This window comes from Homo sapiens, chromosome 8 (genome assembly GCF_000001405.40).
Source record: "Homo sapiens chromosome 8, GRCh38.p14 Primary Assembly".
NCBI lineage: Eukaryota > Metazoa > Chordata > Mammalia > Primates > Hominidae > Homo > Homo sapiens.
Genome location: NC_000008.11, coordinates 22,417,173 through 22,432,673, shown reverse-complemented (window position 1 = coordinate 22,432,673; position 15,501 = coordinate 22,417,173). Strand labels below are relative to the sequence as shown.

Genomic DNA, 15,501 nt, shown 5'->3' with positions numbered 1-15,501 from the left:
CTCCATCTCAAAAAAAAAAAAAAAAAAATTAGCCGGGCACGGTGGTGAACACCTGTGGTCCCAGCTACTCGGGAGGCCGAGGTAGGAGGATCACTTGGACCCAGGGAGTTGAGGCTGAAGTGAACCATGATCACACCACCACACTACAGCCTGGGTGGCAGAGCAAGACCCTGTTCTAAAAGAAAGAAAGAGAGAAAAAGAGAGAGAGAGAGAGAAAAAGGAAGGAGGGAGAAGAGAGAGAGAAGGGAGGGAAGGAGCAGAGAGAAAGAGAGACAGAGTGAAAGAAAAAGAAGGAAGCACTTTTCTTTATCTTCACCTATTTATTTATATGTTTATTTATTGAGACAGGGTCTTGCTCTGTCGCCCAAGCTGGAGTGCAGTGGCATGATCATAGCTCACTGCAGCCTCTATCTCCCTGGGCTCAAGTGATCCTCTAACCTCAGCCTCCCAAGTAGCTGGGACCACAGGCATGCCACTGCCATGTCCAGCTATTTTTTTCTTTTTTTAGAGATGGGGGGTCTTCCTATGTTGCCCACTCTGGTCTGGAACTCCTGGACTAAAGCGATCCTCCCACCTTGGCCTCACAAAGTGTTGGGATTAGAGGCATGAGGCACCGTGCCGGCTGCTCTTTTCTTTTAGTGGCCTAGTTCCAATAGAGTTAAACATTCATTGCTTTCTCAATGTCTTTTCTGATTAAAACAAAAACAAACAAAACATCTAGAGCCACTCCATGAAAATTTAAAAAGAAGAAAGCTCTAATTGAGCTCCCTTCCCAAACAATTGTTTTCCATAACAAATTAGGTTTAAGTTCATTGCTTGTGTGGTGGTGTTTTTAGACATTAACAATTCTCAAGAATCATTGGAGAGCCCAATTTCATTCAGCTGGTGGATCTCTCCACCTGGCCAGATGTCCACTTGGTGAATTTTGTATCCCCCCACTTTTTTTTATTTTCTGCATTGGTCAGTCAGAAGACATAAATATTTGAAATAACCAAGATTCATGTTTAACTATCATTTCTACACATTTCTTCAAATCTGGGTTTCCTTCTTACAGGGCTTGTGAGCTTTGGTGTATTTCCTCATGAAACTCCCTAAGCGCTTCCTAAACCTTGATTAATGACCAGCTCCTCTGAGACATAATTATGAACACTTTTAATTTAACAAAAGCACAGGGAACCCTTGTTTCCACTGTTGTGTGAAAGTAACCTGGCGTCAGTTTCTATTTATATGAAGCCATTAAATGTTCAACTTCTGTGTTAAATGCAGGTAAGAGAACTGTAGAATATTTTAAAAACCATAGTAAAATGAGCATTTCTAAAATAGCTACACAAAACAAAAGGTATATTATAATGTATAATCTGCAATTTTATATGAAAAGCACTATATAGGCCAGGCACGGTGGCTCACGTCTGTAATCCCAGCACTTTGGGAGGCTGAGGCAGGTGGATCATGAGGTCAGGCGATCGAGACTATCCTGGCTAACACAGTGAAACCCTGTCTCTACTAAAAATACAAAAAATTAGCCAGGTGTGGTGGCACGTGCCTGTAGTCCCAGCTACTCAGGAGGCTGAGGCAGGAGAATTGTTTGAACCCAGGAGGCAGAGGTTGCAATGAGCTGAGATCACGCCACTGCACTCCAGCCTGGGCAACAGAGGGAGACTCCATCAAAAAAAAAAAAAAAAGAGGGAATTGGGAGTCCCAGACCGGCTGCGGCAGCTCGCCCCTATAATCCCAGCACTTTGGGAGGCCGAGATGGGCGGATTACTTGAGGCCAGGAGTTAAAGACCAGCCTGGCCAACATGGTAAAACCTTGTTTCTACTAAAAACACAACGATTAGCTGGGCATGATGGCACAGGCTTGTAATCCCAACTACACAGGAGGCTGAAACAAGAGAATGGCTTGAACCCAGGAGGTGGAGTTTGCAGCGAGCCGAGATCACACCACTGCACTCCAGCCTGGACGACAGAGCAAGACCCTGTCTCCAAAACGAAAAAAAAAGAATTGGGAGCCCCAAAGCTGCCGTCACTTCCTGCTTGTGACTGTTGTTGTTTGCATCATTGCAGAACAGGAGAAAATGGTGGCAACCAGTACATAACACATTTGGTGGTTCCACAGGTAAGATACCAAGGTAAACAGCACTGGCATTCAAGTTGCTTGGACCAAAAATTTAGAATCAGGGACGCCTTTCCACACACTGTATCCTGTCAACTTCCTCCCCCTACCGTCTATTTTCCTATACAGCAGATCTTTCTAAACTTAAAGCATAAAACTGATTTGTCATTCCTCTGGTTAAAACTCTCTTGTGGTCTAAGGGCGATGGCCCACGCCTGTAATCCCAGCACTCTGGGAGGCTGAGGCAGCAGGATTACTTGAGCCCAGGACTTGGAGACCAGACTGGGCAACTTAGTGAGACCCCGTCTCTAAAAAAAAATTAAATTAGCCAGGCTGGTTGAGGTAGGTGGGAGGATCTCTTGAGTCCAGGAGTTTGAAGCTGCAGTGACCTCTGACCCCATCTCTAAAACAAACAAACAAAAACAAATGTCTTCTCCTTTCCCGAAGTGGTCTGACTCCTGTCAACTTTGAGCTCCCACCAACCTTCTTCCCTCATGTCTGCTGCAGTCCAGACAGACTGGCCTTGTTTCTGCTGTTTACACATACTGGCCTCAAATAGATGAAGCTTATTTCTGTCTCAGCATTCTTGCGTTGGCCGGCCCTTTGGCTTAGAACATTCTTCTACAGTCACAAAGCTCAACTCAGATGTCATCTGGTTAGAGCCCTTTCCTGATCACCTCTATCCCTGTCTGCCCATTCCCTACCTCACTCCCCCGTGTTAATTTATCTGTAGCACTTGGTTTTTGTTTATTTCCCCTCACTCCTTAAGGGAAGGATCTTTCACTGCTATGTCATGCCAAGCTTGGCAGAGTTGGAGCTCAACAATTTGTTGAATGAATGGATTTCATCTTACTCTTGTCTGCAGCAGAAGTTTTTCACCTGGGGCACAGGGGCTTCAGGAGATCATTCCCTTCTCGTCTACCTCCCATCCCCATGCTGCTCCCAATTATAAATGAAATTAAAGGTTGGAGTATATTTACACATGCTATGAGTGTGTATGAGCAATCATGTATTTTTCAGATTCTCAAAGGAATCCAAAGAACAAAATGTTAATTACTACTAGTACAGAGCTTTAATTTCTAAAACATTTTGCATATTTACTTCTCATTATACTTATACCTACCTTATAAGGTAGGCAGTATAAAATTATAATTTCTACTTCATAAAAATATTGAGGTGCAGAGAGGTTAAACATGTTAGAGATCACACAGATAGTCAATGATGGAATTGACATGAATCCATTCCTATGGATGCAAAATCCTGTGTTCTTTTTTTGTTTGTTTGTTTTTGAGACGGAGTCTGGCTCTGTCGCCCAGGCTGGAGTGCAGTGGTGAGATCTTGGCTCACTGCAAGCTCTGCCTCCCGGGTTCATGCCATTCTCCTGCCTCAGCCTCCCGAGTAGCTGGGACCACAGGTGCCCGCCACCACGCCCAGCCAATTTTTTGTATTTTTAGTAGAGACGGGGTTTCACCGTGTTAGCCAGGATGGTCTCGATCTCCTGACCTTGCGATCCACCCGCCTCGGCCTCCCAAAGTGCTAGGATTACAGGCGTGAGCCACCACGCCTGGCCATTCTGTGTTCTTTTTCAAGACAAAGACACAATGCAGAACTCTGGGGAAGTAAGTTTGCATTGGTTCTTACCTTCGTTTGCTCAAAAATTACCAAACATCAACACTTTTCCAAGGATTCTCCCATTTAAACTAGTTTACAAGGCTGCTTTAAGTTTTTCAGTGAAAAAACAAAATCATCAGTTAGATCAAGGCAGTCTTCCATGCAGTCAGCCTCCATTTCAAACAAAATGTTAAAAGAACACATGAACTGGCCTGGCGCAGTGGCTCATGCCTGTAATCCCAGCACTTTGGGAGGCCAGGCTGGGCGGATCACAAGGTCAAGAGATCGAGACCAGCCTGGCCAACATGGTGAAACCCTGTCTCTACCAAAAATACAAAAATTAGGTGGGTGTGGTGGCATGCGCCTGTAATCCCAGCTACTCAGGAGGGTGAGGCAGGAGAATCGCTTGAACCCGGGAGGCAGAGGTTGCAGTGAGCTGAGATCGTACCACGGCACTACAGCCTGGGCAATGGAGTGAGACTCAGTCTCAAAAAAAAAAAAAAAAAAAGAACATATGAACCGAGGAACACAAAATTTTTCTACTAAGCTAAGTTGAGCATTATTAGAAAAACAGATTTGTGGGAATATACCTTAAAGCCAGATAAAGATGATATTGAGATCTCTGTTTAGATTTTTATTTTATTTTATTTTTGAGACAGAGTTTCGCTCTTGTTGCCCAGGCTGGAGTGCAATGGCGCAATTTCAGCTCACTGCAACCTTCACCTCCTGGGTTCAAGTGATTCTCCTGCCTCAGCCTCTCAAGTAACTGGGATTACAGGCATGCGCCACCACACCCAGCTAATTTTGTATTTTTCGTAGACAGGGGTTTCCCCATGTTGGTCAGGCTGGTCTTGAACTCCTGACCTCAGGTGATCCACCCGCCTCAGCCTCCCAGAGCGTTAGGATTATAGGCGTGAGCTACCGCACCAGGCCAGATTTTTATTTTTTATAGAGACAGGTCTCACTGTTGCCTGGGCTGGTCTCAAATACTGGCCTCAAGCAATCCTCCTGTCTCAATCTCCCAATGCACTGGGATTGCAGGTGTGAGCCACCACACCCAGTCTGTTTAGATTTTACCACCCTTTTAGTTAGACTAGTTCACTGAATCATGTATACTGAAAAATCAGTATGATCCCTTTGTTTAAATCAGCTTTCCCAGAAAAGAAAAATGTAAATTCCATCTCTCTCTCCTGTTCTCTTGATTTTCAAGAGGGGGAAAGAATCCTACAATATTTGCAGAATCACTAAATGCTTAAATTGTGTGAATTTGGCAGCGTAAGATATTTCACTTCAAGGGCCACATCTATAGAATACAACCAGACAATGGCTTCAAAAGAGCTTGTTTTTATAAACTTCAAGAAGTTATAGAGAAGATGCCACTTGAAAGAATCGCCTATTCTGGGAGGATACTCAAGATCAAAGAGGTTTTTTTTTTTTCCTTACTAGCATTTATAATTAAAGACCTAATCCTTTATTTTAAGCAAGAAAATGATTCCCTTTATTGAATTAGTTGTTTTCCTTCTTAAAACCCAAAGGTTGACATCAAATTTTGGGGTGAATGTCCTATTAATTAGCTTGGGTCATTCTTTGATTTTGATGCATTTAAAATGTTAGCCAAACGCAGGAAGACAAACCCTATTTTTTCTTTTCGAGATGGAGTTTCACTCTTGTTCTCTTGTTGCCCAGGCTGGAGTGCAATGGCGTGACCTCAGCTCACCGCAACCTCCGCCTCCTGGGTTCAAACGATTCTCCTGCCTCAGCCTCCCGAGTAGCTGGGATTACAGGGTGTGCCACCACACCCGGCTAATTTTGTATTTTTGGTAGAGACAGGGTTTCTCCATGTTGGCCAGGCTGGTCTCAAACTCCCGACCTCAGGTGATCCGCCTGTCTTGGCCTCCCAAAGTGCTGGGATTACAGGCATGAGCCACTGCACCCGGCCCCAACAAACCATATTTTAAGAGAGCACATTGATCGTGGTGGCTCATGCTTGTAATCCTAGCACTTTGGGAGGCCATAGTGGGTGGATCACCTGAGGTCAGGAATTCAAGACCAGCCTGGCCAATATGGCGAAAACCCCATCTCTACTAAAAACACAAAAATTAGCTGTGCATGGCGGCACATGCCTGAAATCCCAGCTACTTCGGAGGCTGAGGCAAGAGAATTGCTTGAACCTGGGAGGCGGAGGTTGCAGTGAGCTGAGATCACACCACTGCACTCCAGCCTGGGCAACAGAGTGAGACTCCATCTCAAAAAAAAAGAGAGAGAGCATATCATTTAGAATTACTTCATCAAAAAAACTCCTTGTTCAGGAGCCTCCTCTGGGAGATTCCTGATGGCTTTGTGTCACACGAATGGATTTGTGAAAACCTGTGTGGATTATTGCCTGAGTTTATTCTTAGGGAACCTCAGTGTTCCACAAATCTATAAGTAAACCGGTTGTAGAAAAACATCTAGAGAGTCTGGGTGCAATGGCTCATGCCTGTCATCCCAGCACTTTCGGAGGCCTAGTCAGGAGGATTGCTTGAGCCCTGGAGTTCGAGACCAGCCCGGGCAACTTAACGAGACCTCCTTTCCACTAAAAATCAAAATTAGCCAGGTGTGGTGGCGCATGCCTGTACCCCCAGCTAATTGGGAGCTGAGGTGGGAGAATCACTTGAGCCCAGGAGATTGAGGCTGCAGCGAGCCATGATCGAGAAACTGCACTCTAGCCTGAGTGACAGAGCAAGACCCTGTCTCAAAATAAAATAAAATAAAAACAAGCCGGGCGCGGTGGCTCACGCCTGTAATCCCAGCACTTTGGGAGGCCAGGGTGGGCGGATCACCTGAGGTCGGGAGTTCGAGACCAACCTGACCCATATGGAGAAACCTCATCTCTACTAAAAATACAAAATTGGCCAGGCTTGGTGGCTCATGCCTATAATCCCAGCTACTTGGTAAGGCTGAGACAGGAGAATCGCTTGAATCTGGGAGGTGGAGGTTGCGGTGAGCCGAGATCGCACCATTGTGCTCCAGGCTGGGCAACAAGAGCAAAACTCTGCTCAAAAAAAAACAAAAAAAAAACAAAAACCATCTAGAGCCTAGTAGAAGAACTTCTTGGCTTATGATTGCCAGGGTCAGAACACTTTGGGATTATTCCTTAACCATAATTGATGCTACCATCTTGGAATCTGACCCACTGCTGGATCAAGGATTGCTGTTACAAAGGATACTCCATTAACTCCCTTCCTTCATTAAAAAACAAAAACAAAAACAAAAAACTCCTGAAAAGACATCTGGCAAGAATAGACATCTGCTGAAAAGAAATACAACTGTTTTTTGGCTGGCAGTTCTAAGCATACTTAGCTGAAGGCTGATAAAGGACCTGTGGATCGCTCCCAACCACTGATTTTTTTTCCACTATTAAAAAAAAAAAAAAGTCAGCCGAAAGCCACCAATCACGAATGCAATGTTTTCCCACGCATCAAAAACACTACGTCCACATTTAGTGTGTTTGCTATTTCTTGAAGTGGGTTTTGCCCAAATCCAATCCAAGCATCACTGAATGGTAAAGTGCACAGAAGGAAGAAAGTAGGAGAGAACACTCATAGCATTTTTTGAATTTCAGTTATTTCACCTTCCACCAAAAATGTCCTAGATGGCTTAGCTGATTAAGAGTATTACAAAGAGATGGCTAAGGTCACGGTTTTAATCTACTTAATGGCCTGTTTACTTTGCTTAGCTCTGTTCCACGTGGGCCACAAGTACACCTCTCTCAAACTTACATTTCTAAATTAAGGTGGACCGAGTAATAAAGCATAAGCGAAACCATCACTGATGACTGGAAGACACAACAGGAACTGCTCACCATGGAAAGTGAGCATCTCCACCAACACAGAACTTAAAAGACATTTCATTTAGTCTTTTTTTTTTTTTTTTTTTTTTGAGACGGAGTCTCACTCTGTTGCCCAGGTTGGAGTGCAGTAGCACGATCTTGGCTCACTGCAACCTCTGCCTCCCGGGTTCAAGTGATTCTCCTGCGTCAGCCTCTTGAGTAACTGGGATTACAGAGGCACACCACCATGCCCGGCTAAATTTTGTATTTTTAGTAGAGATAGGGTTTCACACCATGTTGGCCAGGCTGGCCTCAAACTCCTGACATCAAGTGATCCACCTGCCTTGGCCTCCTAAAGTGCTGGGATTACAGGCGTGAGCCATTGCACCTGGCTCATTTAGTTTTTTCATTCATTCTTTCCATATGGCCAGTGCTGACATCACAGAAAGAAACCAGATACGCCCTCCACCCAGAAGGAATTTGGTATGCAAAGAACAGCAATTACAATGCAAGTCCTGTAACTGAGGTATGCAGAGACAGACTCCTGGAAAGGCAGGAGGGACTGTAGGCAGAAAAGGACGTCGAGGTGTCAGGAGCTGAAGGGCAGTGTGAATGTCATTTTGAATAGCAAATGGCGTAGTAGTGAGGTAATGCAAATTAAACGACCAACACGAGCCACTTCATATATTATTCTTGTTTTAACAAAGGAAGGACTAACAGGCATTTGAAAATCTCTAATGGAGGTAGTCATAAGATTGAACCAACTTTTTTTTTATCTTACTGGTCATTTCTGTTGTCGAAGAAAAACAGATCCCTGACCCTACAACTAAATTGGAATGGGAATAGCTTTAGCATTTTAAGTCGCATTGACAGAGGACTTTTCCCTGTAAGATATAGAAATGTGGCTTAAACAAACTAAGCAAACGTTACAAGTTTCAAGTTTATGTAAGAGAAAACAGGGTGATAGAAAAGTCTTCTTGGAAACACCACAATTCTTCTATCATGCAACACAGTGAGATCACAGCCTCCGAAAGAGATAAACTAATCGATTTTGGCCAGGCTTGGTGATCTGCGCCTATAATCCCAGCACTTTGGGAGGCCAAGAGTTCAAGGCTAGCTTGGGCAACGTAGCAAGATGTTTCTATAAAAAAAAAAAAATTAAAAAATTAATCAGGCATGGTAGTGCTCGCCTCTAGTCCCAGCTACTCAAAAGGTTAAGGCAGGAAGATTGCTTGAGCCTGGGAGTTCAAGCTCACTCTCTCTCTCTAGATAGATATAAAACTTTATCTGTAGATAACAGTTATCTATCTACATAGGAAGATAGATGAGAGAGAGAGAGAGAGAGAGAGAGAAACCAATTAAAGTGAGTATAGGCCAGGCGCGGTGGCTCATGCCTGTAATCCCAGCATTTTGGGAGGCCGAGGCAGGCTAATCACCTGAGGTCAGGAGTTCTGAGACCAGCCTGGCCAACATGGCGCAACCCCATCTCTATTAAAAATTCAAAAATCATGGCCAGTGGCTCACGCCTGTAATCCCAGCACTTTGGGAGGCCGAGGCAGGGGGATCACGAGGTCAGGAGATCGAGACCATCCTGGCTAACACGGTGAAACCCTGTCTCTACTAAAAATACAAAAAATTAGCTGGGCGTGGTGGCGGGCACCTGTAGTCCCAGCTACTCGGGAGGCTGAAGCAGGAGAATGGCGTGAACCCGGGAAGCGGAGTTTGCAGTGAGCCGAGATCGTGCCATTGCACTCCAGCCTGGGCAATAGAGTGAGATTCCGTCTCAAAAAAAAAAAAACAAAACAACAACAACAACAAAATTCAAAAATTAGCTGGGCATGGTACTACATGCCTGTAGTCCAAGCTACTTAGGAAGCTGAGGCATGAGAATCGCTTGAACCCAGGAAGCGGAGGCTGCAGTGAACCGAGATCGTGCCAATGCATTCCAGCCTGGGTGACAGAGTGAGACTGTCTCAAAGAAAGAAAAGAGAAGAGAGTACAAAAGTTTCCTTCTTGGCCTGGCACAATGACTCAAGCCTGTAATCCCAAGACTTTGGGAGGCCAAGGCGGGCAGATCACCTGAGGTCAGGAGTTCGAGACCAGCCTGGACAACATGGCGAAACCCCATCTCTACTAAAAATACAAAATTTAGCCAGGCGTGGTGGCGGGCACCTGTAATCCCAGCTACTCGGGAGGCTGAGGCAGGAGAATCGCTTGAACCCAGGAGGTGGAGGTTGCAGTGAGCCGAGATCGCACCACTGCACTCCAGCCTGGGCGACAAGAGCAAAACTCTGTCTCAATAACAACAACAAAAAAAACCTTCTAAAATCCCAGTCAAATGTTAAACCAGACCTGGTAAAACAAAACTTTGTACGTCAGTGAGACACCATCGCCACCTTGTGTTCAACAGCCTTCATTACATCCACATTTATTGCAAATGATCACCCGTGGGATTCTCAACAATTACAGAATATAGCTTTATTTATAGAATCTTACAAATAAAACATTTACAGTCCACATAAGTTAATTTTCTTTTCTAATTTCTTCTCATACACCTGAGTTATTTAAAAAAATACTGTGATGGAACTGCAGAACTGTAAAGGGAAATAAGAACAATAAAATCCTAACCTCTCTTGCAAAAATCAGACAACTTTGTTTTAAAGTAGATGCCCAGCATATTGCCATCTCTTTGGAAGAGGACTTACTATACTCAGCTCTTACGCTACCCAAACAGAGAAGCCTTCTTTTTAAAACCCAAGGTTAAGGACCAGTGAAGAATAGCTCCAATTTGACACTAGACACAAAATACCTTTGGGGGCAAAGACAGGGGCAAGCTGTGTGCCGGTGGTGAAGTGAGAAGGAGCAGAACCCCTGTCCCTGCCTCACTGTTCCTGCACGTGACATACACTTTCCTTGCTAACTTATTAATAGGAGCTGGTGCATCTGGAAAATGAGGTCGAAGCTGCTAATGCCAGGGGTGAAAAAGTCCTCCCACTGACTTGCTACTCCTTAGACTTCTAATATGTACAAATGCTTGAAACAGCAAATTCAACAACTAAAAATCAAAAGAAATTGCCAATTTTTGACTCATGAGGCAAAGCTGTTGCCACAATCAGTGGCGACTCAAGTCAGACGATGTGAGCGTCTCCGCCCCTCCTAAGCTCCGACTAGGACTGACCTCTGCGCCAACTACGGTTTAAAGAGGATTTCCCTTTGAGGCAGCTGTCTATGGAAGGAAATTTCTTAAGGTAATATAGGTGTGCACAAAAAGGGAAAACACCCTATTTCATTTTTCAATTTGTTAAAGATTATAGTTTTGAGCTCCTCTCCTAAACTAGAAATCCACTAACTCTAACTTAGTATTCTACTCCAAGACAAAGGGTATTATGTTTAAGGAATGATAGGATCTATTGGGAATGCTAAAATTATAAATTTAATACATCAATGCGAGTTAGGTTAAAGCAAAATCTTCCAGAGTCTTCAACTTTGAGTTATTTTCTGCTAGCTCCTGAAAGCAGCTTGAGAAAAATAAAACAGAAAAGACAAAGAACCGTTTAAAAACAACAATAATAATGACAATATAAAAAGTTAGATTCCAACATTCAAGGAATTGGTTCTTTGGTAAAACTGGACCATAATCCCACCAGGAAATCAGTCCTGATATTTAATCTAGAATCTCCATCACTGAAATTTTCCCTCTTCAGCGTATTCTCAAATGTATTGAAGCCAACAGGCAAGATAAAAACAAAACTTAAAAAAAGTATCACCAGCAGTTTTTCCTGCTCACGTTCTTTTCAAGAATATTCCTGGTTTGACAGATGTCTCCCAAGAAGAGAAAACAAAACGGATGCTGCTTGTGATTACTGAGAGCGGACAGTTTTTCTATGTAAGAGAAAAGCTCAGGCATTGGTAGTGAACCAGTACTCCTGTCAGCCATGCACATGAATCAGTTTGCAAACATGGCCCCTGGGCTCCAACTGTGGGCACCACTAAGAAAGGCTTCTGGAGAGACAGGCTCCCCAAAGTGGCTAAAGAATCTCACATTATCAATATGATAATAATAAATCAATTCACCTAGTGAACCTGGAGAAGAGCTCCCCTTGAAGCCAGAGCTCGGAGGCAAGGGCTCCACAGTGGCTAAGGCTGGCCTACAGTTTTAAAGACAAGTTATCTCCATCCATTTTCTGGAGAGAGTTAGAGAAATTCATATTCAATTCAATGCAGGATTCGACTTTTTTTGCAAGGAAGCAGTAACCTAGACGGGTCATTTAAAACCCATCTGTAGCATAATCATTAGGCCAACCATTCTGCAAACATCTGCGATGCCCTAAGTGAAGTTTGTGCCCTTACATTTCAGAGACCCCCTATTAGTCATGCTTTGATTTATGGAAGCGGCAAATCCTAAATTTTGCCTGCACTGATTCCATTTCTGATTACCCTTGTCTAAGTAGAGCATAAATGGCACCCCATTTCTACAAGTCAGCTTGCCACTCTGCAGACGTCTCAACCTGGGGGAGGATAGTTTGTGCAGTCTCCCCTCTAACACAGAGGTCTCAAATGTGCTCAGAATGTGCTTCTAGGAGGCAGCTACAAAGTCTCTTAGAAGATGGCAGTGGGGAAGAGGAGGTCAAAATCACAGCCAAACCAACTGTTTTCTTGCAGACAGCCTGAGCCTCCATTCTGTCAGCGTTAACCTGAAAGAGGAGGTCCAGGCAGCCACACCGCCACGTTAGCTCACTCGGACAGCCGTGAAACACCAGGTGCTGTTACAAAATCAATATCCAGCATCTCAGTAGGAACAAGTGAGCATCCTGACAAGACACACAGCAGTGGTTCGACTTCCTCTCCCATTCAGGATGAACCTTGCCTCACCTCTCACCCTGCTCATGTGTTCTGACTTCAGGTTCTCTTTGAGAGAAGTAATAGGCAATTAAACAGACTTTGAAAAAATGGGAAGGCTTCCTGTCTCCTGTCTCTTCTATTGGCCAGCTGGAGGTCCAAGGTGCCCAGCTAGAGTCATGGGCCCCACACTATGGATTCAACTCTTGATATTTCTAGCCAAGTTATAACCATTGGCTCTATTTTTGCATTGTTGGGTAAAGGATTCAAAACCTTTCAGCACTGGTTCCAAGAGGAGGCCAAGGTAATCAGAGAAAAAAGTCAGGCTTGTCTTGTAAGCTGCATTCAGGTTCCAGAGTCACTGAGAGAAAAGGAGGTGAGGAGAGGGCAAGAGGCACTAGCTAGAGACTGGTTACCAGGGCAGCTTATTCCTAGGATACAGCATTTTACAAACGGCTGACATTTGAATGCAGGAATACAGTCTGTGTCAGTTTTTCATAGAACGGCCTCTTCCGTGGTGCATTGTGGATGGTAAGTCCTCGGGCTGGCGATCGGGCAGCCCAGGGCCCGACTTCCAGTCCCACAGGCTCTTGGCAGAGCCCTACCCAATCTGGATCTGTCCTGAATACATGGTGAGGACCACCATGATGGTGAATCCAGTCAGGAGGCCCAGGTTCTGGATGATAAATGGAATCAAGATGCTGCCCTTCCTTTCATCCTCTTGACAGACCTCATTCATCTCAGGGAACTGGGAAAGAAGCAAGAAACAACACAGCTGCAATTCCTTCTTCATCTTGTAAGTCCAGGGCAATTCAGTGATGGAGATATAGATCAGGTTGGTTGACAAAGAAAATTATCAGGGCCAGGTGCAGCGGCTCACTAGAGGTCAGGAGTTCGAGACCAGCCTGACCAACATGGTGAAACCCTGTCTCTACTAAAAACATAAAAATTAGCTGGGCGTGGTGGCGCAGGCCTGTAGTCCCAGCTACTTGGGAGGCTGAGGCAGGAGAATTGCTTGAACCCGGAAGGCAAGGCTGCAGTGAATGGAGATCACACCACTGCACTCCCGCCTGGGCAACAGAGCGAGACTCCATCTCCAAAACAAAACAAAACAAAAAAAGAAAATTAACAATAGCAGGTACCATGTCTTTACAACTGTCTAGGTAAAACAAAGTACTCAACGTGTATGTGGCTCTGGATGAGTTTAGAGGCTGGCTAAAAATAAATGTACTCTGATAAAAAATAAACTTTATATTATAGACTTTTTTTTTTCCTTTTTTCCACTCGCTCTTGCCCAGGCTCGAGTGCAGTGGTGCGAACATAGCTCACTGCAGCCTCAAACTCCTGGGCTCGAGCAATTGTCCCACTTCAGCCTCCTGAGTAGCTCCACAGGTGCCTGCCACCATGCCTGGCCTTATTATGGACTTTAAACACTTTAAGAGGTCTTTTTGTTATCAAGATATTATTAACAAGCTAGATGCAGTGGCTCACACCTATAATCCCAGCACTTTGAGAGGCTGAGATGGGAGGATCCCTTGAGGCCACAAGTTCAAGACCAGCCTAGGCAGCATAGAGACCCCATTCTATAAAAATTCAAAAAATTAGCTGGGCATGGTGGCTGGAGCCTGTAGTCCTAGCTGCTTGGGAGACTGAGGGAGGAGGATCACTTAAGCTCCGGAGTTCAAGGTTGCAGTGACCTATGATCACACACTGCACTCCAGGCTAGGTGAGTGAGGTTCTGTCTAAAAAAAAAAAATTAAAGAAAAAGACACACCCAATGCATTGAGATAAAAAAAGAAACAAACCAAAGTATTGCTATTATTGTTTTAGGGGTAGTATGATGTATGATTATGCGTAATTTTCTTTCCTTTCTTCTGTCTCTTATCTATATACAGCCATTCCATAATAATTAATAAAGACCATAGATAAATTATAATCATTTTCTTTAATGACATATGCTAACAAAAACATAAACTTTTCCTCCTTTAAAATCTAATGCCCCCTTAAAAACCGCTGAATGGTAGGTACACCTTAAACAGACGAACTCTGTGGTATGTGAAAGAAAGCTAAGGAAGATGTTATTAAAAACAAACTACCAGCCATGTGCGGTGGTTCATGCCTGTAATCTCAGCACTTTGGGATGCCGAGGCGGGTGGATCACCTGAGGCCGGGAGTTCGAGACTAGCCTGGCCAATATGGGGAAACCCCATCTCTACTAAAAATACAAAAATTAGCCAGGCGTGGTGGCACACGTCTGTAATCCCAGCTACTCAGGAGGCTGAGGCAGGCGAATCACTTGAACCCGGGACGCGGAGGTTGCAGTGAGCTGAGATCATGCCACTGCACTCCAGCCTGGGAGACAGAGTGAGACTCCATCTCAAAAAAATAAAAATAAAAAAAAACTACCTACCTAACATCCATCCCCTTAGCCGCCCTCTCATCCAGTGAACTGTGGAACACTTACCATATCAGCCAGAGAAATATACAAGAACATTCCTCCAGCTAGCGCAAAAATCCAGTTGGCAGAGAAGTGGCTGCCGGCCAGGATGCCAAAGGCCAGACCCAGGTAGCAGCAGCAGGCAGAAAGGAAGTTGAAGAAGAGAGCTTGTTGGATGCTCATCCCAGCGTTGAGCAGGATGACAAAGTCTCCTACAGCAGCGAGAATGAAAAGGGGAGGGACGAGGAAGGAAGAGTAAGATGGGCATGGTGAATGCACACCTGTCATCCCAGCTACTCAGGAGGCTCAGCTGGGAGGACTGTTTGAGCTCAGGAGTTTGAATCCAGCCTGGCGACAAAGTGAGAGCCAGTCATACAAGGTCGTGGGAGACAGAGGGCACCGATGACATCAGACTGCTAAAAGTGTGGGTGAAAAAAATCAAGACAGCCCTAGACTCAAGACAGAAGTGACAAGACAGGCCCTTGAACTTCCTGTTCAGGACCCGTCTCCATTTGCCAAACTGGCCGTATACCCAGCCTAAAGGCTGAAAATCTTTCTCAGGATTTTAAAAATAGATGACCAGCTGGCACTGGCCTCCTCATTTCTCTCTGGATTCATAGTGAAACAGAAGGAACCCCCTTCCTCACAACTACCATGGAAACAAAATCAAAACTGCGAGAAGTTAAGTGT

The 15,501-nt window shown here is 44.6% G+C and overlaps 1 protein-coding gene across 14 annotated transcripts in view, besides 1 other annotated feature; it reads right to left on the bottom strand.

Annotated features, from left to right (window-relative positions):
* SLC39A14 (solute carrier family 39 member 14) overlaps positions 1 to 15,501 on the bottom strand; it is a 66,852-nt gene that overhangs the window by 1,456 nt on the left and 49,895 nt on the right. For 13 of the 14 annotated variants that reach the window (NM_001351656.2, XM_006716324.4, NM_001351657.2 and 10 more), the window contains 2 exons: positions 14,839 to 15,023; positions 9,938 to 13,122 (listed from right to left, as the gene is read on the bottom strand). In NM_001351656.2, coding sequence (NP_001338585.1) covers positions 12,976 to 13,122; positions 14,839 to 15,023 — 332 coding nt within the window. In that variant the 3' untranslated portion in view covers positions 9,938 to 12,975. Of the gene's footprint in view, positions 1 to 9,937; positions 13,123 to 14,838; positions 15,024 to 15,501 lie in introns of those variants that run through there. The other variant, NM_001135154.3, reaches the window with a different exon arrangement.
* Positions 8,401 to 8,601: a silencer, noted in NCBI's record as "peak6937 fragment used in MPRA reporter construct". NCBI's record gives its function as "represses an SCP1 promoter by STARR-seq MPRAs in K562 erythroleukemia cells {active_cell/tissue: K562}" and the evidence as "EXISTENCE:reporter gene assay evidence [ECO:0000049][PMID:32103011]".